Consider the following 23,397-nt stretch of genomic DNA (forward strand, 5'->3'; position numbering starts at 1 on the left):
TGAAATCTAGCAGTGTTGAGCTTTTGGGGGGCCTTGACTTGGATACAAATGATAAGAACAGGTAAAAAGACTCAGGTAGAATTTTCCTCATATTAATGCCTGTGTAGAGTTTAACCTTTTTAGAAAAGTTATATTAATGGTGTGATTCATGGCTGGGTTCCATTTCAGTGGGAGCTGCAATTCTCAGCAGTAAGCTTCGCTGGTGCCATTAGAGTCTTGACTACTAGTTTACTGAGAAGCTCATCTCTCAACCCTGAGGAAGTATCCTGTCCAGCTCCCGATCTTATTTCCAAGAGAAACCAAGACACATTGGGTGTGGCCATAAGAAGGCCACCGGGGTGGTGAGGGCTGTGAAGACACTCGCTAAGAGGGATAGGTGTTAGATTTGGTGTGAGAAGGTCTGATGTGTGAAGAAAAAGGATTGCACTTTAACGTCGAGGCTCCAGACAGCAGGTCTTGGGATAGGTGTAAGTTACTGGGAAGATTTGGGTTCAGTGAAGAGAGTATTAAGCCTAAAAAGAGTTTGGAAATAGAATGAGCTCTATGAGGGCATGAGTTGTTTTCCGTATCTACAGCTGTGACTAATGAACTGAGAGGAAATTTTTAACCATGTTCTTCCAAGGAATTATGCATGGATAAGATAAAAAGTTCCTTCTCACTCTAAGTTTCCATTACTGTGATGTATGTGGTGCCTGTTGATTTGCAAAAGGTTTTCTTACCTCTGTTTCTTTCACTCCCTCATGCGCAGTTCTTCAGTTGACCAACAAATAGCTATTTGCTCTTATTGTATGGCACTAGGTACCAAGTACGCAATAGGAAACAAGTATTGCTCTCAAGAACCTTACTGTCTTTTTGGAAAAATTGACAAGAAAACAGATATTTGTAATAGAGCATGGTATGGGCTATAAGGGGAAGGAAAAGAACACAGAGGAGGAATACCAGCCCTGCTAGAGGTGAGAGAAGCAAGGCTTCCTGGAGGAAGGGATGTCTAGAATGGTCCTTACTTGGAGCTGAATAGTGATAGAAACCTGGCAGGCAAGGCTTTAGAATGGGCAAAAGCCTGGAGGCCTGAAAGAACAAGATAGGGTAGGGGAGCTGTAAGCAGTTCTGTTTAGTTGGAGCAGAGTGTTGGAGGTGAAGGTGGAGACACAAGGAGATGCTACTGGAGAAAGAAGTCATTGTAGATGGCAAAAATAGCCACAATTTTTTTTTCCCTTTCCTCATCAGGGAAAGTCTGCTTTCTTGTTTCATCCCTTCAATCTGAGTTGGCTACAGGACTTGCTCTGGCCATTGAGAAATTAGCAAACATAATGCAAGAGGACACTTGGAAAATGCTTGCAGGCCGGGTGCGGTGACTCACGCCTGTAATCCCAGCAGTTTGGGAGGCTGAGGCAGGCAGATCACCTGAGGTCAGGGGTTCAAGACCAGCCTGGCCAACATGGCGAAACCCCATTTCTACTGAAAATACAAAAATTAGCCAGGCGTGGTGGTGCACTCCTGCAGTCCCAGCTACTCAGGAGGCTGAGGCAGGAGAATCACTTGAACCCGGGAGGTGGAGGTTGCAGTGAGCCAAGATGGCACCATTGCACTCCAGCCTGCGCAACAGAGTGAGACTCTGTCTCAAAAAAAAAGACCAAAAAAAATGAAGGCCGGGCACGGTGGCTCATGCCTGTAATCCTAGCACTTTGGGAGGCCGAGACAGGTGGATCATGAGGTCAAGAGATCGAGACCATCCTGGCCAACATGGTGAAACCCCGTCTCTACTAAAAATGCAAAAATTAGCTGGGCATGTGGTGCATGCCTGTAGTCCCAGCTACTCGGGAGACTGAGGCAGGAGAATCACTTGAACCCAGGAGGTGGAGGTTGCAGTGAGCTGAGATCGTGCTACTGCACTCCAGCCTGGGTGACAGAGCGAGACTGTCTCAAAAAAAAAAAAAAAAAAAGAAAAAGAAAAGAAAAATGCTTTCCCATGGGAGCTTCTTGCTACTGTTTCAACCTGACACTGACATTTTTGTAAGTCCAAGGTAGCCTGCTGGATGGTGAGAGACACTTGCCTCAGTTTCTTGGTCATCCTAGCCTACAATCAGCTGTTTTCAGAAACAGAGTTGCCTAGCTGACCTGCAATTGACCATGGATGCACGAGTGAGCCCAGCTGAGCTTAACGTAAGAACTGCCCAACTGAACCCAGCCCAAATTGCTGATTTATGGTATTATGAGCTAAATAAAAGGCTATTATTTTAATCCATGAAGCTTTTGTGTGTGGGGTGGGGGTGGTGGGGTGTTTGTTTGTTTGCAGTAGTAAGCTAATTGGTATGGCAGTCATGGAGACTTACGAATTATGTTAATGCATTTGGACTTTCATCTGCAGGTGTGTGGCTATTTCAAAGGGTTTAAGTCATGAAACTGGTAGTATCAGATTTGTGTTTTAGAAAAGTCACTGTTGGATACAGCCAATGACATCATGTGTGGTTAAGTATCTTGCAAGTTGTAAATAGGTGTGCAAATAGAGTTAATGAGTAAAAACTGTACATACACATAACCTGGAGATGCTTGGGACAAAATTTCAAGGCAAACCCTCTGGTCAAACCTCTGGAAACATCCAGTAACAGCATGCTTTCACTAATATCACATCTGGCTATAAAAAAATATTATCTCCCAAGTACCCTGCCTCTGATATCAAGCCAAGGGCCTAGAGGAACTGGCCAAAGCAGAATGGCTTGGAAAGATGGTCAGAATGCACCAAGACCATGAAAGTTTCACTTCTCTCAAAGAGAGACCTGGAACAGCAGTTCTTCAGGCTAATGTGGTCCCTGTATCACAGACCTGGTCATGGACTCTCAAAAACACCTTTTAAGAGATTCCCATAAGGAGATTAACAGAGACGTGCACAAAGATGAGTGTGTTTCTTCTTTAAGGCATACTTATAGTGTGAAAAATGAATATTATAAATGTCCAACAATAGGAAAATGATGATATAAACTTTTATACAACTACATGGCTGAAAACTATGCAAATGTTATAAAGTAGTGTTTTCAGGATGACCACAAAGAGAAAAGTTAACATTTTAACAAAATATGTACAGAGTATGGGAAAGACAAGTTTTCCACCAAAATCCATTCTCCCCTTTTAATAATAGAATTTAATTTCTTAAAATAATAGATTTTTTTAAAGAATAGAAATCCAGATTTTTAGCTGGACACATGGCTACACAGCTAGAAACCTCATTTCTCACCCTCCTTGCCTGCTGGGGCGTGTCCATGCATCTGAATTCTGGACTGTGGAATGTGACCAGGAGTGATGTGTGCTATTTCCAGATTGTCTCCAAGTAGTTGGCTGCTGGGTATGATTATGAAACTGAATGATGGGCCATGGAGTGTTTCATGCCATTTCCAGATTGCCCCCAAGTATTTGTGGACATGTTCACACATTTATCTTGTCCCCACGTATTTGTGAATGTATTCACATGTTTCTTTTGCCCATTCTTTACCCTGAAGGTTGAGTTGCAGATGTGATTATGGGGTCCTAGAAGATATATCTTGGAGCCAGAGCTTATCTAGGGTGTAGTTGTCTCTTGTGTTGATGAAAGTGCTGAGCAGAGAGAATGGCTCGCCAAAGCACAAGTGACCCATGAGCTACTGTGTGTTGAAAGGACACTCATTTGAAGGTCACTGCTAGGTGCTCAGGGGGACAACACAGAAAGCTCACACACAGTCTGCAGCAGAGTAATGGAAAGCCAAGTCTTCACACTTTTAGCCCAGCATCTTATCTCTTAGATTAACTGTGGCATTGTGAGGACTGCAAGTGGTTTGCTTTGGGGTCATGTCTTCTTTTGCCCATTTCTGCTATCTCTGTTAACTCTGGGCTCTTCTACTATATATATATGATTTGGCTCATGCAATTATGGAAGCCAAGAAGTCCCACTATATGCTGTCTGCAAGCTGGAAAACCAGGAAAGCTGATGGTATTAAATCCAAGCTCAAATGCCAGAGAGCTAGGAGCTCCACTGTTCAAGAGCAGAAGAATGTACATGTCCCACCTCAGAGAGAGAGAGCTAATTCACCCTTCTTTCACCTTTTTGTTCTATTCAGGCACTCAATGGATTGGATAATGCCTGCCCACATTAGTGAGAGTGGATATTTTTACTCAGCCTACTGATTCAAATGCTAGTCTCTTCTGGAAACATCCTCACAGACACACTCAGAAATAATGTTTTACCAGCTATCTAGCCATCCCTTAACCCAGTCAAGTTGACACATAAAATTAACCATTACACCCTCCAAAATATTCTTATTTTGAAATTCTCGCCCCCAGTACTTCAGAATGTGATCTTATTCTTTAAAAGGATCCTTGCAGATGTAATGAAGTTAAGATAAGCTCATTAGGGTGGGCTGTAATCTAATATGGCTGGTATCCTTATAAGAAGGCACGTAGACACACAAAGAGAAGATGGGTGTATGACACAGGACACAGAGATTGAAGCGTAACAGTTGCAAGCCAAGGATTGTCAAGGATTTCCAGCAAGCAACCAGAAGCTAGGAAGAACCAAGGAGGGATCTCCCCACATGAGCCTTCAGAGAGAGAGCATGGCCTTGCCAACACCTTGGTTTTGGACTTCCAGCCTTCAGAACTGCGCGATAATAAATTTCTGTTGGTTTAAGGTAACCAGTTTGTGATGGTTTGTTATAGCAGCCCTAGGAAACTGATACAGTCTCTCTGGACAGCCTATGTCTATGCAGAAATGGCCACAGTAGGCAGAGCTGTCCAAGCAGTGAGCATATATAGGGCTCTGACCCCTTACCGAGGGCCCGGCTGCAGCCCTGACTTATAGGGTTCCTTTAAGCAATGAAGTCAGAATGGGCCAAGACAAGAAAAATTGCAAGATTCATTATTTAACACTGACTCCTACCAGGGTTATGGGGAAAATAAACACATCAATGGTACCTAGAAGATCTTTCTGGGTGGCCAAGCTAATAGAATAAGCCGTATTCTTCATCTTCTCTTTCATGGTATCATTCTTTTTCTGCAACAAAACTCCTCCCAAATTGTACCTAGAATTCCTGAAAAAGTGGAGCTAACTAGATAAATGTGAACATCAGTACCCCCCCCAAAAAAAAATCATGTTACTTCATTTGCATGTGATATTCTCATTTAAATTTCATTACCATAAAGTGAGGGTTCTATTACCAGGGTAACCAGTAATAGAAAAGGAGCAGTATGGCTTTGACAAATGACTTACTCCACTTTGGCTCATTCCTATTGGGTTCTTGGTTACCCGCTTGCTTGTGATTAAAAGAACACAAACCATTCCATACTTTTGTCTTTTTCTCACCTTGTTTTGCTTTTCTCTTCGCCTAGAATCTCACTCCTTACCTTCCAGTTAAACCTTATTTGTATGTAGAGTTTCTACTGAATTTGCTAATTTATCGTTTTCATTTCTTCTAGCTGAACTTGATGTTGTTTTCCCATCTCCTGCTCAGCAACCTCTCCCTCTGATAAACACTCCCATGACTCCCAAAGTTCCCATGACTGTGTTCCCAGTGCCTGACATCCAGTCACATGATCTATATGGCATGTCTGGAGGTTGAATTTCTGCATGGCCGTGAATTAACTCCATGACCATGTGGTAAATTTTTCAATATTTCCAGGAAGCAGGCTGCTTATCTGTAAAATGAGATGCGCTACTTTATGAGAGCTAAATTTCACAATGTATTTGAAGCCTGACGCATATAGCCTTTGTGTTACTTATTTATCTGATGCTGCATAACTTAGTAGCTTAGAGCAGTAATAATCTATTATCCTTCACAGTTTCCATGACTCAGGAATTCAAGAGTAGCTTTGATGGGCTGTTTAGGCTTGGAGTTTCTCATGAGTTTGCAGTGAGATATTGGCTGGACCTACAAGTATTTGAAGGCTTGATGGCAGCTGGAGCATCCACGTTGAAGGTGGCCCTCTCACATGGCCCACTCACATGGTGCTGGTTTTTGGTGGTAGACTTCATTTCTCTTCATGTGGGCCTCTCCATGGGGCTGAATGGATGTCCTCATGGTTTGACAGCTGTTGTACCCCAGACAGAGCAATGATAGAGAGAGAGAGAGAGAGAGAGAGATGCTGAATCTGGCTCTGTCGCCCAGGCTGGAGTGCAGTGGTGCGATCTCGGTTCACTGCAAGCTCCACCTCCCGGGTTCCCGCCATTCTCCTGCCTCAGCCTGCCGAGTAGCTGGGACTACAGGCGCCCACCACGGCGCCCGGCTAATTTTTTTTGTATTTTTTAGTAGAGACGGGGTTTCACTGTGTTAGCCAGGATGGTCTCGATCTCCTGACCTCATGATCCGCCTGCCTCGGCTTCCCAAAGTGCTGGGATTACAGGCATGAGCCACCGCACCCAGCTGCTGAGTCCTTTTTATGACCTAATCTCTGATTTCTCATAACATCAACTCTGCCACATTCTTTTTGTTGAAAGTGAGTCACTAAGTCACTAAGATCAGCCCACATTCAAAATGAAGGGATTTAGTTCCACTATTTGAGTGGAAGAGTGTCAAAGAATTTACAGGCATATTTTAAAGCCATGACAAACACTTAATAAATGTCAACTTTTATTATAAATATAGTAGTATATATTTTGGGGATATAAATATATATATGTATACGTGTACAAATATTTGTGTATATATAATCCGTATGTACAATCTATCTATCTATATCTGCATTGGTAGTAAAAAAAAAAAGTGCTGTTTTTAGAATTTATTTCATCTTGCTCTGGTACCCTCTTAACCACTGATGCTGAGGAGTATCATGGAGTGGTAGAACAAAAATTTGGTAACTAAAAAGATCAATCTCTTCCTTTTTTAAAAAACAGTTTTTTGGCTGGGTGCAGTGGCTCATGCCTGTAATTCAAGCACTTTGGGAGGCTGAGCCGGCAGATCACTTGAGGTCAGGAGTCCGAGGCCAGCCTGGCCAACATGGTGAAACCCTGTCTCTACTAAAAATACAAAAATTAGCTGAGCATGGTGGTGGGCACCTGTAATCCCAGCTACTCGGGAGGCTGAGGGATGAGAATTGCTTGAATCCAGGAGGCAGAGCTTGTAGTGAGCCGAGACTGTGCCATTGCACTCCAGCCTGGGCAATACAGCAAGACTCCATCTCAAAAAACAAAAACAAAAAATAGTTTTTAAAGATCCTCTAAGGTAAATAAGCTGTTGATTAAAAGCTCAAACTCCCTTTGGGCCTGGTGTTTTCCCTCTTAGGAAGTTATTCCTTTCTTCTTGGAAGGAGAACACTCACTCACTTTGGCTGGGCCTGTTTCTACAGCTTGGCTTTGCACACAGCTTTCTCCACCCTACTTCATGTTAGCCCGGGCTAGGCCCCCATCTTTCTTCTTTGACTTCTCAATCTAAGTCATCCTTCACTGTCAAGTAATGATGGGAACTGAAGATACATTTTTTTTTCCCCTGAAATTTAGATTTCTAGGCAAGCTGCCAAAGGGTCATTTCTCCAACAGGGTACCTGATATCTGGCAATTCAAATTTTTGGAAAAGTAATAATGTTATCAAATAAATAATTGTATAAAACAGAACAATATATTTTTATTTATTAATTTTCTTAAATTACTGTACAGAAAAATTAACTTTTTGGTATATGATTCTATGAATCTTAACACATGTATGCTTTTCACAACTAGGATACAGAACAACTACAGCACTCCCAAAACTACCCTGATACTTCTTTACAGCCACATGCCCTGCACCCATTCTAAACCCCGGCAATCTGTTTTCCATCACTATCATTTTGACGTTTCAAGAATGTTATATAAAATGGAAACTTTTGAGATTGGCTTTTTCCCCCCACTTAGCCTAATTCCTTTCAGATATATCCAAATTGTTTCATGTATCAACAGTTCGTTCTTTTTTAATGTTGTGTTGTATTCCATTGTATGGACATACCACAGTTTGTTTTTCCACTTACCAATGAAGTATTACTAAAATACCAGGGGTTTGTCTAGGTCTCATTTCTCAGTGCACAGAAAGCTAATCACTGGGACAAAGAGTGTTACCAGGGAAGAAGGCTTTATTCGGGTGCTGCAGCCAAGGATATGGGAGTTGAGTCTCAAGTCCATCTCCCCAATCAGCTAAAATCAGGGGTTTCTATGTAGGAGAAGGAATGTTGTTAAATATGAGAAAACAGGAATTAGGGAAGGATAAGGAAGAGGAGATGGTAAACAGGAATTAGGGGGAATAAGGAAGAAAGTTGATAAACAGGAAATAGGGAAGGCTAAGAGAATCATGTGAAACAAGTGCAGTGGCTCACACCTGTAATGCTAACACTTTGAGAGGCCAAGGTGAGAGGATCACTTGAGGCCAGGAATTCAAGACCAGCTCTGGTGACACAACGAGACCCCACCTCTACAAAATAAAACAACAACAATGACAACATGATACATAAGGGGTCTGGCATCTCATTGTCTGGATGCAGTGATATGGTGAGTTTCAGTGCCTCAGTTTCTTGTTTGAGGTCTGGTTTTCTGAGGAAGAAACTTAGATGATAAGACAAATTTAATTTTCAAGTTTTAAGACTGGAAGTGTCAATTTCTATGTTTATTCAAAAAGCTGCAAATGTCAGTTCTATGGGACATTTAAGCTGGTTTCAGAAGGACGTTGGAGTTATTTCCAGTTTTTGGCAATTGGAAATAGAGCTGCAATAAACGTTCATGTACAGATTTTTGAGTGAGTACAAGTTTTCCTTTCTCAAAGGGGAAATGCCCAGCAGTAGAAATGGTATCATATGATACTTGTATGTTTAACTTTATAAGAAACTGCCAAGCTGATTTAGAAACTGGCTATATCATTTTCCATTCCGATCAGCAATATGCAAGAGTTTCAATTGCTCCAAACCCTCACTAGCACTTAGTTCTACTAGTATTTTTTATTTTAGCGATTCTAATACATATGTAGTGGAATCTTATGCTTTTAAATTGCATTTTTCTAATGGTTAATTATGTAGAACATCTTTCCACATGCATGTTTTCCATCCCCGTATCTTCTGTAAGCAAGTGTCTGTTTGCCCATTTTCAAATTGGGTTTTTGTTTTCTTGCTATTGAGTTTAGAGAGGTCATTATATATACATAATGAGTTCTTTGTCAGATATGTAATTAGAAGATATTTTCTCCTAGTCTATAGCTTGTCTTTTCACTTAATAACGTCTTTCACAGAGCAAAAGACTTTAATTTTAATGAAGTCCAGATTATTTTGTTTTATTTATTTATTTTCTGAGATTGGGTCTTGTTCTGTCACCCAAGTTGGAGTGCAGTGTTATGATCACAGTTCACTGCTGCCTCCAACTCCTGGGCTCAAGACATCATCCTGCCTCAACCTCCTGAGTAGCTGAGTTTACAGGTGCACACCACCATGCCTGGCTATATTATTCTGTTTTCTCGTTGCTGATAAAGACATACCGGAGACTGGACAATTTACAAAACAAAGAGTTTTAAGGGACTTACAGTTCCACGTGGCTGGGGAGGCCTCACAATCATGGCAGAAGGTGAAAGGCAAGTCTCACATGGTGGCAGACAAGAGAAGAGAGAGCTTGTGCAGGGAAACTCCCCCTTACACTAACCATCAGATCTGTGATACTTACTATCATGAGAACAGCACAGGAAAGACCTGCCCCCATGATTCAATTACCTCCCACTGGGTTCCTCCCACAACACGTGGGAATTCAAGATGAGATTTGGTAGGGACACAGCGAGACCATATCACAGGCTAATTTTTAAAAAGTTTTCTGTAGAGGTTAGGTCTTGCCATGTTGTCCAGGTTGGTCTTGAACTCCTAGGCTCAAGCAACCCTCCCACCTTAGCCTCCCAAAGTGCTGGGATTACAGGTGTGAGCCACAAAGCCCAGTCAATCAGTTTTAAAAATGGTTTGTGCTTCTGTGTTATTTGTAAGAACTCCAGGCTTTCTATCTTCTAAGGTTTCTGATAAGAAATCTGTCATTCAAGTTGTTCCCCCATAGATAATGCATTATTTCTCTCTGCTTTCATTCTTTTCTTTCTTTCTTTTTTTTTTTTTTCTGTTTTTCTGTTTTGAGATGGAGTCTCCTGCTGTTGCCCAGGCTGGAGTACAGTGGCATGATCTTGGTTCACTGCAACCTCTGCTTCCTGGGTTCAAGCAATTCTCCTGCCTCAGCCTCCTGAGTAGCTGGAATTACAGGCACCTGCCACCATGACCAACTAATTTTTGTATTTTTAGTAGAGACAGGGTTTCACCATGTTGGCCAGGCTGGTCTCTAACTCCTGACCTCAGGTGATCTGCCTGCCTTGGCCTCCCAAAGCACTGGAATTGCAGGTGTGAGCCACTGCACCCAGCCTCTCTGCTTTATTTCTTTATTTTTTTGTCATTAGTTTTCAGCAGTTTGATTACCTTGGTGTGGATTTTTTTGGCGTTTATTCTGTTTGAGTTTTACTTAACTTCTTGGACCTATAGTTTTAATCTTTTGCTAAACTTGGGAAGATTTTAGTCATTGTTTCTTTAAATATGTTTTCAACACCATACTCTTCTTTCTCTTTTTATGGGATTCCAGTGATCTTAATTTTCGATCCTTTTTATTGCCCCACAGTTCCATGAGGTTCTGTTAATTTTTGTTCAATTTTTTTTCCTCTTTGTTCTTTGGATGGGATGTTTTCTATTGATCTGCCTTTTGGTTCAGTAATAATTTTCTCTCTTTTCCAATCTGCTATTGTGCTCAATTAGTAAGTTTATTTATTTATTTTGTGTTTATTTGTATTTTTTATTTCTAAAATTTTAATCGTATTTTTCTATATGTCGTTTAGTTCTTTGTTGAGATTTTCTATTTTCCCAGTTGTTTCAAGAATATTTACTATTACTTGTTATGGCATTCATATAAAAGCTACTTTGAGATTTGTTGGAAAATCCAAGCACAGTAATACACACTGATATTATAAGGCCACTGACATGGTGGCTTAAACAACAGAAATTTAAAATGTTAGCAGGTTTTGTTTCTCCTGGGACCTGTCTCGTTGGTTTGCAGGTGGCTGTCATCTCTCTGTGTCTTCACATGGTCTTTTCTTTGTGGGTGCATCCTTGGTGTCCCTTTTTGTGGGTCCTCTAATCTCCTGTTTTTATAAGGACACTATCCATATTGGATTAGAGATCACCCTAATGACTCATTTTAACTCAATTACTTTTTCAAAGGTCATATCTCTAAATACAGTTGAATTTTGTGTGACTAGCACTTCAACATACAAATTTTGGGGGGGCACAATTCAGCCCATAACACTGTGTCATCTTGATGTTGCTATCTGTTGAGTGTTTTTTCTTATGTAAATTGAGATGTTCCTGTTTCTTCATGTGCTGAGTAATTTTACATTGTGTCCTGCACATTTTGACTGTTATAAGACTCTTGGTCTTATTCAACTCCTACTGAAAACACAGATATTTTTGTCTTAGCAGGTAGCTGACCTGGTTAGGTTCAGGCTACAAATTTTAACCTGGCTTCTGTGGGCTGTAGTTCTTTTTTTTGAAGACTGTCTCACTCTGTTGCCCAGGCTGGAGTGTAGTGAAGCTCTTTCAGCTCACTGCAACCTCTACCTCCCGGGTTCAAGCGATTCTCCTGCCTCAGCCTTCCAAGTAGCTGAGATTACAGGGATCGCACTGTCACACCTGGCAATTTTTTTTTTTCTTTTTTTGTAGAGATGGAGTTTTGCCATGTTGGCCAAGCTGGCCTTGAACTCCTGACCTCAGGTGATCTGCCTGCTTTGGCCTCCCAAAGTGTTGGGGTTACAAGTGTGAGCCACAGTACCCAGCCAGTGGGCTATAGTTCTGATGTCAGTTTCATTTCTAAAGGCTTCACAGTTAGAATCATATCTGTCTCATATGTGCCTCACTTAGGAGTGGGCTTGTGACTTGGGCAATGTCTATCTACATGTCTGGTTCTTAAACTTGTTGGTATGTTGATTAGGGCCAGACCCATGCATACGTAAATTTGAGGTAAGCCACGGAGTTCATAAGCAAGTTTATGGGGTTTCTTTCTTGATATCCCCTCTGTTTGCAATCTGCTGGTACTTGTTCCATGGGAGTCTCTTTTTGGTTTCTTCTGCTAGAGTGGAGGCTTTAGTTTTCCCACTCTGCTACACATATCCAGAGCTAACTGCTGGGAGGATAAAGAAAAAATAAAAATTAAGGGAGAGTCACTTCACCTCTTTGGAATTATAGCTCCACTGATCAGAAAGGAAGATCCCCCAGGACCCTCCCCCTCCAGCAGGGCCCCTATTGGAGGCCTCTGCCATCACTGCTGTGGAATTGCTTGGGGATCATGGTGTGAGAAAACAGAAAGAATGAAAGAAAGGGAGGGAATTACTCACTCTCTTACATGAATGTTAGGAGTTTGCCTTTCACACCTTGAGGCAAAAAAAGGGTTTCCCCTGGAGCTCTCTGGGTGTTCTGGTGCTCCTTTATGGGTTTCAGGCTAGAGAATACCAGAAAAGAAAAAAATAAAAATTCATCACAGGTTTGGTGGTACTTTAAAATTTAGGGTGCCTTCCCAATCTTCTTGCTATTTATTTTTCAGAGTCCTCAGGTAGCTGTTCCATGCAGCTAGCATGTTCTGTCCAGGTTTCATAGCTGCAGTGAAAGCTGTCAGTGCAAGAGACAGGGTAGACTGTGCTTATCCCATCTTACCAAGAACTGGAACCTCCTGAAATAAAGCAACATTAAAATTGAATAAAAAATAAAGTCAAAACTTGCTTTTGAATGCTAATTTTTTTTTTTTTTAAACAAAGTCTTGCTCTGTCACCCAGGCTGGAGTACAGTGGCATGATCTCAGCTCACTGCAACCTCTATCTCCGGTGTTCAAGTGATTCTCATGCCTCAATCTCCCAAGTAGCTGGGATTATAGGCACCCCCACCACACCCGGCTAACTTTTGTATTTTTAGTGGAGATGAGGTTTCACCATGTTAACCAGGCTGGTCTCAAACTCCTGGCCTCAAGTGTTCTGCTCCTGTCAGCCTCCCAAAGTGCTACGATTACAGGCATGAGCCACTGAGCCCAGCCAAATGCTTGAATCCAATAAATATAATTAAGAGAGGATGAATATATAGATAGAAGTTTAAGTAAAAAATAGTAATTCTGACGATGTCTAAACATTTACAAAAGCTTTTGAGAATACGGGCACTCATTGTGTCTGATTTTAGATAAAACTGTATACTTCCAGCTGGGCACAGTGGCTCACACCTGTAATCCCAGCACTTTGGGAGGCTGAGGCTTGAGCTCAAGGAGTTAAAGACCAGCATGGGCAGCATAGCAACACTTTGACTCTAGTAAAAAAAAAAAAAAAAAAAAAAAAAAATTAGAAGTGGTATCACAGGCCTGTAGTCCCAGATACTCTGGATGCTAGGGTGGGGAGATTGCTTCAGCCCAGGAGCTGGAGGCTGCAGAGAAAGACCCTGTCTCAAAACAACAACAACAAAAAAACAAAGAATAAAGAAACAAAGAAAACATGGAGGTTTTCAGACAAATGACTAATACTATCCTTGTGCTTATAAAAATGATTAATTTTTAAGTTCATGAGAAAAAGGAGTAGGGAAAAGGAACATTTATCAGTAATATAAGACTGAAACAAAATAAATGGAGTTTAAAAGGATGTGTGTGTGTATGTTAATATGTTTATGTTTAACTGAAGTAAACAGTAAAAGACCATGGTAAACAGAAGAGGAAAGCCACTGTGTATGACAAAAACACACATCATGCTATTCTTTGCTGACCACGTGGTGGCACTGTTGACATGAGACAGTTTAGTGGATTTGTTTAGTAAAATGGATTTGCACGCTATATTGCTGATTTTAACTAAACTAATCCTCTTAAAATACACAAGTCATTAAAAAATATTTCCTGCAAAGAAACTTCAGGTTAAGATAATACTAATAATTGAAGCTGCAGATAATAACAAAGAAATGGAAGAACAAGATGTCTCTCTTCCTGGTTTGAACACTTTTTCAGCCACATTGTGAGAAAACAATCAATGGCTATTGGTGATATATTACTTAGCAGAATTTTTAAAAATAATATATATCCATTTACTTGATCCCTTTTAGTTAAAAGTAATATTTTTGATAATAAATAAAAAATAGTATTTTGAAGAAAACTCATGCTTTTAAAAATTTTGAAATGTTTAAATATATTTATCATTATGAGATTTTCTCCCTGAGACTACAACTGCTATATATTACTTATAGAATTCTAATATTTCAACACTAAGTCTTTGAAACTAAATTTTCAGTTTAAAAACCTGTCAAATGAATAAGTAGGTTTCGAAACAATTTATAAAACAATTAATAAATACCTTCCATTAATTTGCAAAATGATTTACATTACATAATATGGAAATTTATTGGTCAAATATCAACATAAAACTTGGAATTACTGGTAGATAGGGCCAAAAAGTAGGGATGATATTTAATAATTAAAGCTAATATGATAACTTGTATGTGGATATGCTTTTTCCATATACCTGTGCTTCTTTGTAAAGTATGTTTTTAACTATGGCAGTCATTAAAATTACAAAAATAAAAATACATTTAGAACTAGGCTCTCAAATCATTTTATCACAAAATGTTGTTTCCAGACATTTAAAGACAGTAAAGCATACTGAATCATGTCTCTCTTGCTAAAATTAATATTTTTAGTTAAAGCAAAGAAGTTTTTTATTATTAATAATAAACTAAAATGAAAAAATTAAGTTTAAAACATTTTATTTTTGGTATGTTTTATAATGACACAATCAATAATTATATGTGACACTTTATACATTTTACTGTATACCAGACACTGTTTCATTTATTTCCTTTTTTTTATTTATTACTAAGACACCACATGACCATGCATAGGCACTGTTTTAAATGCTTTACATATAGTAATTATTTTAATTCTCATAACACATAATGATGATTATATTGGTCTCCCTATTTAACAGATCAGCAAAATGAAGCATATAGAGTTTAAGAAACAAACGTAAGACCAACTAGCTAATAAGTGACAGAATCAAGAATTATTACTACAGTAATGCATACATTTAATTTACATATAAATTACTCATTTCCAAACCAATAAAAAGGCCAATGAAATTATGAGATCAAAGTTTGGAGACCATTTGTCTAAAGCTAATAGGCGTGGTGGCAAGATAAAAATACATTCATGCAAAGCTCAACCCAACATTTAGTATAGCATATTAGCATTTATAAACCATGTGCACGATTTTATTTAATTTCCACAATAACCTTTGAAGTAGTCATGTTAATCTCAGAAACACAGCATAATAAAGATAATGTCTAATGGAGCCTGACAGACCTGAGTATAAAGTTTAACACTACCACTCACCACATCCATGATTTAGGGTATTTCTTAACCTCTTTGAATTTCATTTTTTCTTATCTTCAAAAGGAAAACACACACACACAAACACACATGCACACACATACACACACATCTTATAGAGTTACTGTAGGATTAAATAGCATAATATAATAGAGGGTAATAGTTAAGAATGTAGATTCAGGAGCTGGACTGTCTGAGTTTGAATGCTACCTGTACAACGTATTAGTTACAACTTTCTTTGTTTAGTTATAAATATTCTCTCTGCCTTAGTTTTCTCATCTGAAATATAGGGCTAATGATACCACCCACCTTACAGAGTTTTTGTATGGATTGATTGATATAATTTATTAAGGACCTGGAACCTAAGAAATAATAAATGATGGCTATTATTCATAAATATAAAATGCTTAGCCTATGGTAGGCACCCTAAATAGCAACAATTTGTAGTCATTATACCTATTGAGAGCTTTACTCAAGATTACGCTATTAAGAAGCATCCAGGTCTCTTACCTCTGGATCCCATGCTATAAGCAGCTAGTGTTTTCACGCATGGATAATTCCCTTCTGAGGGATGTAGGCAAAATGTGTTCCCAGGGAGAGAGCACTTAGGCTTGAGCTCATCAAGAAACGCTTCAAATTAGTACTGAGATCTGAGCAGGATTTGGAGAGGTAGAAATCATGGAGGAGGTAATTCCAGCGGGAAGGAATTGTGCAAAGCCAAAAGACAGGAGCTGAAAAGTATGTCTGAGGGAGAGTGAGTAAAATGTTTGGCCTGGGGCTGGGTGCAAAGGCTCTCACCTATAATCCCAGCACTTTGAGACTGGGGTACCACTTGAGTTCAAGAGTTCGAGGCCAGTCTGGGCAACATAGCAAGACGCCATCTCTAAAAAAAATCAGAAAAAGTTAGTTGGGCATGGTGGCATGTCTGTAGTTCCACTTACTCAGGAGGCTGAGGTGGGAAGCGCACTTGAGCCCAGGAGTTTGAAGAAGAAGTGAGTTATGATCATGCCACTGCACTCTGACCTGGGTGACAGAGAAAGACTCTGTCTCTAAAAAAAAAAAAATTATCTCTATATATGTATATGTATATACATGTTTTTATATATATAAAATAAGATGTATTATATAAAACAAGATGTATAATATATAAAACAAGATGTATTTTATAGATATAAAACAAGATACATATACACACATATAAAAAACAAGATATATAATTATATATATAATAAAATTTTTGGCCTGGAGCAGACCTACATTTTAGAAAAATTAACCTCGTAGAATTAGAATAGAAAAAAAAAAGGGCCGGGTGTGCTGGCTCACGCCTGGAATCCCAGCACTCTGGCAGGCCGAGGCAGGCGGATCATGAGGTCAAGAGATCTAGACCATCCTGGCCAACATTGTGAAACCCCGTCTCTACTAAAAATAAAAAAATTAGCTGGGCATCGTGGCCCACACCTATAGTCCAAGCTATCCAGGAGGCTGAGGCAGAAGAATTGCTTGAACCCGGGAGGCGGAGGTGGCAGTGAGCCGAGATCGCGCCACTTCACTTCAGCCTGGCAACAGAGTAAGACTCTGTCTCAAAAAAAAAGAAAAAAAAAATACCCACAAGAAGTGAGGAGAGGAAGAACGTTATTGTGCCCATCTGGACAAGAGTGGTAAGGACCTAGAACTAAGGGAATTTACTGAGGGAATGGAGAAGAGAGGACAGGTGAAAGATAACATTTTAGGAGAAAAGTCAGAAGAATTTGGAAACTAAAGGAAGGATAAGCAAATGAAGTAGACAGAATGATAAGACACCAGTAATCTCATTGTGGTTGGTGTGGTATAGACGATGACATTGAGAAATAGGAAAGTAACTTTTAGAGGGTCAATGATAAGTTAGACTTTTTAACATTGAATTTGAATCAACAGAGAAACATTTGAAGTAAACATGCTCTGGGACGTGTCCTGGAAAACTTAGATTGCTCAGGTCTCAAGCTAGGGAACTGGAGGTCATCTGGAGAGAAGAAATAATTGAAGGAGTTCTTTGTTACCCAAGGAAGATTTAGAGTGGAAAAGGCCATTTATACAAATCCATTCAGAACAAGACCAATATTTAACAATCAGTAGTGAAAAACTGGTGAAATTGGGACTTAAAAGGAGACTAGTAATTATGATTGTCTGTATTTTATATTTAAAACAATTTGTATTTATATTGTAATTTCAACAAGCCACTAATTCTTTTTTTTATTATTATTATACTTTAAGTTTTAGGGTACATGTGCACAATGTGCAGGTTTGTTACGTATGTATACATGTGCCATGTTGGTGTACTGCACCCATTAGCTTGTCATTTACATTAGGTATATCTCCCAATGCTATCCCTCCCCCTCCCCCCACCCCAGGACAGGCTCCAGTGTGTGATGTTCCCCTAACAAGCCACTAATTCTTATAGTGAACAAATAATTAATTTTTTGTAGTTGGCACGATATAACCAACAAATTTGCATAGTAGTCTGTTATGAAAATCTTCACTCGTTTTACTTTCAAACAACAACATATAGGAGCGTATTTTTATATTGATTGGAGTTTTGTCTGGACTTTGACACACAAACCTCACAGATAGCAAAGAAGCCAGTTTCAGCCTCTTCAAAGTGGAGTGAAAAATGTAAAGACTTTTAGCAAGCAATCTGGAAAAAAGCATAATATCTTTTTATGATTTTATGATTTAAAAAAAAGCTTTTTTAAAAAAATTGTGGACCCGCCAAGTGCAGTGGCTCACGCCTGTAATCCCAGCACTTTGGGAGGCCGAGGAGGGTGGATCACGAGGTCAGGAGATCAAGGCCATCCTGGCTAACACGGTGAAACCCCATCTGTACTAAAAATACAAAAAAATTATCCGGGCGTGGTGGCGGGCACCTGTAGTCCCAGCTACTCGGGAGGCTGAGGCAGGAGAATGGCGTGAACCCGGGAGGCGGAGCTTGCAGTGAGCCAAGATCGCGCCACTGCACTCCAGCCTGAGTGACAGAGCGAGACTCTGTCTCAAAAAAAAAAAAAAAAATTGTGGACCAGCCATGATAGCTGACGCCTGTAATACCAGCGTGTTGAGAGGCTGAGGCCAGGGGATCCCTTGAGTCCGGGAGTTCAAGACCAACATGGGCAACATAGTGAGACCTCATCTCTACAAGAAATTTTTTAAAAATTTGGTGGTGGGAGAGTTCTATAGTCCTAGTTAATCAGGAGGCTGAGGTGGGAGGATTGCTTGAACCCAGGAGGCTGCAATGAGCCATGATTGCATCACTGTACTCCAGCCTGGGTGAGAGTGAAAACCTGTCTCAAAAAAAAAAAAATTGTGGTAAAATACACCTAACCTAAAATTTACCATCTTTACTATTTTTAAATGTACAATTCAGTAGCATTAAACATATTAACATTGTTGTGCAACCAATCTCCGGAACATTTTCATCCTGTAAAAGTTAAACTCTGTACCTGCTAAACAACATTTACAATTTTCCCTTTACTCCAGTCCCTGGAAACCACCATTGTACTTTCTTTTTTCTATGAATTTGACTACTCTAGATACCCACTTTAAGTGTAATCAATTATATAGTATTTGTCTTTTTGTGACTGGCTTATTTCATTTAGTATACTATCTTCTAGGTTCATCCATTTCGTAGCATGTACCGGATTTCCTTCCTTTTCAGAACTGAATAACAGTCTGTTGTATGAATAGACCACATTTTGTTTATCCATTGGTATTTAGTGGGCAAAGATGCTAGAAGCTCTGGGCAGGTTTGCACAAAGAATTGTCCAGCCCCAACCAGTGCTGCCTCCACTAATAAACAAATGCTCGACTGTGAATAACACTAGAAGCAGCCAAACTGATAGACCTGCGTTGTATTAAATACTTTATCTGCATTATCTAATTTAACCTAACCATGACATTTTGATAGATATTACCTCCGCTTTCATGAATACCCTAAAGAGCATTAAGGATTCTCTCAAGATTACATTGCTAGTAAGTAGCAGAACCAGATTTTCAACAGAGTCCTAGGCCTCACTCCAGTACACACAATCCTAATCACTAAACAACCTCTTAAAGTAAAGGTAAAATAGAACCTACAGATCAACTTTGAGCAGCTAGAGGGCAAAAACAATGATTCATTCACCTTTCTTCCTTTTACCTAGTACAAAGGTTGCAATGCCTTTAAGTGTAGTTTTATTTAATCTAATCCTTCTCATTTTTACAGATAAAACTGCAGTTTGAGAAGGTTAAATCATTCTAGTATGTGGCAGATCTGAGATTAAAATCCAAGGAAAGGAGCTGAGAATTTGTAAATGACCAACTACTCTACCAGCCTATCTTAGTTTACCCATTTTCCTGATCTCTCAGATTGTGGCATCTATTTATGCCAGAGGTTGGCAAGCTTTTTCTGCAAAGGACCAGATAGTAAATATTTTAGGCTTTGCAGGCCATATGGTGTCTGTCACAACTACTCAGCTCTGCTCTTTTAGTAAAAAAGTAACTATAGACAATTCCTAAATGCATGGGCATACCTGTATTCCTATTAAAATACTTTTTATACAAAAATAAGTGATGACCAGATTTGGTCCATGGACCATATTTGGCTGACCCTTGTTTAATCTCCAGGGGTGAACTTTGTCTTTTTAGATTTGTCTATACTTGTATCATCATAGGTAGCTTGGAATAAGACTGGTGAACATTTAAAGCAGTATTCCTCAAGCCGATTGTTTACTGCATTACTGGAGAATGGTGTTAAAAATAGATTCCTGAGTCTCACTCCTAGAGATTCTGATTCAGAATGTCTCAGGAAGAGCGGTAGCATTTGTATTTTTTGCCCCTGGTTCTGATGCAAAACACAGTTTGAAAACCAGAAGTTTATAGCCTTGGTAGATAATTTTGCAAATAAATAATGTTAAATAAGTATCTGTGTAATTTCCGTGTGACCCACAATCTAGCTCCATGCCAGAACTCTGATTTACTGAACAGAATGTCCATTTCATCTTTTTTATTTTAATTATTTATTTATTTATTTTTGTAGAGACAGGGTCTTGCTATATTGCCCCAGCTGTTCTCAAACTCCTGGTCTCAAGCGGTCCACCTGCCTTGGCCTTTCAAAATGCTAGGATTGCAAGCAGAAACTACTGTGCCTAGCCTGTCTTTCTTTTTTATTTTTGTTTTTCTTTTCTTTTTCTTCTTGAGATAGGGTCTTGCTCTGTGGCTAAGGCTGGAGTGCTGTGGCACAGTCACAGCTCACTGCAGCCCAGAATGCCCAGGCTCAAGCAATCCCCCAACCTCAGGCTCCCCCATAGCTGAGACCACAGATGTGGGCCACCATGCCCGGCTAAGTTTTGTATTTTTTGTAGAGAGGGTGTTTCGCCATGTTGCCCAGGCTGGTCTCGAACTCCTGGGCTCAAGTGAGGCAATCTGCCTGCACTGGCCTCCCAAAGTGCTGGGATTACTGGCCTGTCTTAAAACCTTGTATCATTCTGCCCTTTCTCCATTTATTCAGAGGCAGACACATATAAATAAAAACCGTCGCCATTGGAATTCTAATGAGCCATAAGCTAATGTAAGGATATTTATTCAGTTGACTGCAGGTACCAGTAAAATCTTGTTTCCAAAATGGTGTGAGTATAATCCAATTTACGTCTTTTAACCCCTGGTGATTTTTGTTTCATTTTGTTTTGTAATGGGTGGAAACTAGGCATGGTTGCTGGGTACTGACAAAGCAACAATAAGAGGGAAATAGCATTGCCACCACCACAGGCAATTTTCGGTTGCAATGAATCACTAAATCTCCATAACCACGGGGTGGCTCTACATGATTCTGTTGTTAATTGAATTTTTTCCCCAAATAGAATGAGGGCTTATTTTGCATCAACATGATTCTATTACTTGATGATTGTTGACACAGTCAGCTAAATTCAAGTTATTTCAGCTTCCACATCATCCACAGGTATCCCTATGACAAAGGAGTAATAGTGGCTAAATGAATTCTTTTCCAAGAAAAGGCAGAAAAGATAGTCCCAAACTCACTGCATCAGTGTGAAGGAGATTGTGGGGAGGACCTCACCACAGAAATGATGTTATGACCTTCTCAGTGCATTGTGTCGGAGGAAGGTACATAATGTCAATACATCTTATTACTGTTGAGGTAAACTTTGATCACTCGGTTAAGGGGGTATCGGCCAGCTTTCTCCACTGTCATGATTTAAATTTTAATTTAAATTTTTCCTTTGTAATTAATAAGCATCTTGTGGGGCCATACTTTGAGGCTATGCACATTAATTCAGTCGTCTAAATTGTTCCTACTCACAACACTTCTGACATCAAATATGTGAGGTATTTTTTTAATATCAACAACCAGTTCTCCAACCCTCTGAACACAGCTGAGTGTCCTACATTTCAATTTAATTCTGATGGTAACTACCTGAGGTTTGTGTTAGACCGGAGGTCCCCAGTCCCTGGCCAAAGACCTGGAAGAGTCTGTGGCCTGTTAGGAGCTGGGAAGCACAGCAAGAAGGGAGGTGGGACAGCGAGCATTACAGCCTGAGCTCCGCCTCCTGTCAGATCAGCCTCAGCATTAGATTCTCATAGGACCGTGAGCCCTATTGTGAACTGTGCCTGAAAAGATCTGAGGTGGAATGGATTTTTTTGAGACTGAGTCTCGCTCTGTCACCAGGCTGGAGCACAGTGGTGCGATCTTGGCTCACTGCAACTTCTGCCTCCTGGGTTCAAGTGAGTCTCCTGTCTCAGCCTCCCAAGTAGCTGGGACTACGGGCACGTACCACCATGCACAGCTAATTTTTGTATTTTTAGTAGAGACAGGGTTTCACCATGTTGGTCAGGATGGTCTTGATCTCTTGACCTCGTGATTTGCCCACCTCGGCCTCCCAAAGTGCTGGGATTACAGGCATGAGCCACCACGTCTGGCCTGTGGAACAGTTTTATCCCGAAACTATCTGCACCCTGTCACCCCACCACTCTCCCACTTCTGCTCCCCACTCTACTCCCCCAACTCCTTCCACAAAACCAGTCCTTAGTCCCAAAATCGTTGGGGACCACTGTGTTAGATGACTTACTCCCATAAGACTACCCTCACTTCAGATGCAAGTTGAAAATATTGGCTCCCCAGGGTACCCACATGCTGTCTGTCTTGGTTACAAAGTCAGGAGATCCCCCCACACCACCTTCAGTTTTGATTATTTGCTAGAATGACTCACAAAACTCAGAAAAACAGTTTACTTATTATTTTTAGTTTATTATAAAGGATGCAATTCAGGAACAGACAAATGAAAGAGATGCGTAGGGCAAGGTATTGGAGAAGAGGCACAGAGCTTCCATGCCCTCTCTGGGTGCCACCCTTCCAGCACCAATCAGGGATCTCCCCAAACCCCATTGCCTGGGGATTTTTATGAAGGTTTAATTACATAAGCATGATTGATTAATACATAGACCATTGGTGTTTAACTCAACCTCTAGGACTCTCCTTTCCCTAGAGGCCCAAAGAGAAAAGTTCAAACCCTCTGATCACATGGTTGGTTCCTCTGGTAACCAGACCCCACCCTGAGGCTATCTAGGAGACCACCAAAAGTCATCCCATTAGCATAAGCTCAGATATGGTTGAAAGGAGGTTAAAATGGATAAGAAAAGATGCTTCTATCCCTCTCATCACTCAGGAAATTACATGGGTTTTAGGAGTTCTGTATCAGGAATGGGGACAAAACAACCAAATATATATTCTTTATTATGCCATGGTTGGTTTTGAGGAAATATGAAAAATAGACACATTAAACTAGGTGCATATAGATGGGGGTGTATCGAAGAAATTGATGGGTGAAAGTGATTTTGCCATAAACTGATCCCAAAACCCCTCACTTAAGACAGAGAAAATGGCTCACCTAAAGGCTGTTAATAAATAATAATAATTGAGAGGCTATTAGGCTGAGATGGCTTCTGATATGGCTTGGCTATGTCCCCACCCAAATCTCATCTTGAATTGTAACTCC

The 23,397-nt window shown here is 40.1% G+C and overlaps 1 long non-coding RNA gene across 8 annotated transcripts in view; it reads left to right on the forward strand.

Moving 5' to 3' along the window:
- The window catches only part of LOC105375751 (uncharacterized), a 463,156-nt gene that overhangs the window by 32,380 nt on the left and 407,379 nt on the right, over positions 1–23,397 (forward strand). Inside the window, exon 3 of one of the 8 annotated variants that reach the window (NR_188075.1) lies at positions 4,089–4,662. The exons of 6 other annotated variants lie outside the window; for them this stretch is intronic. This is a non-coding gene — a long non-coding RNA (uncharacterized LOC105375751). Of the gene's footprint in view, positions 1–2,018; positions 2,242–4,088; positions 4,663–23,397 lie in introns of those variants that run through there. One more of the 8 variants, NR_188076.1, reaches the window with a different exon arrangement.

The sequence above is a fragment of the Homo sapiens genome, chromosome 8 (assembly GCF_000001405.40).
Source record: "Homo sapiens chromosome 8, GRCh38.p14 Primary Assembly".
In the NCBI taxonomy this organism is placed as follows: Eukaryota; Metazoa; Chordata; class Mammalia; order Primates; family Hominidae; genus Homo; species Homo sapiens.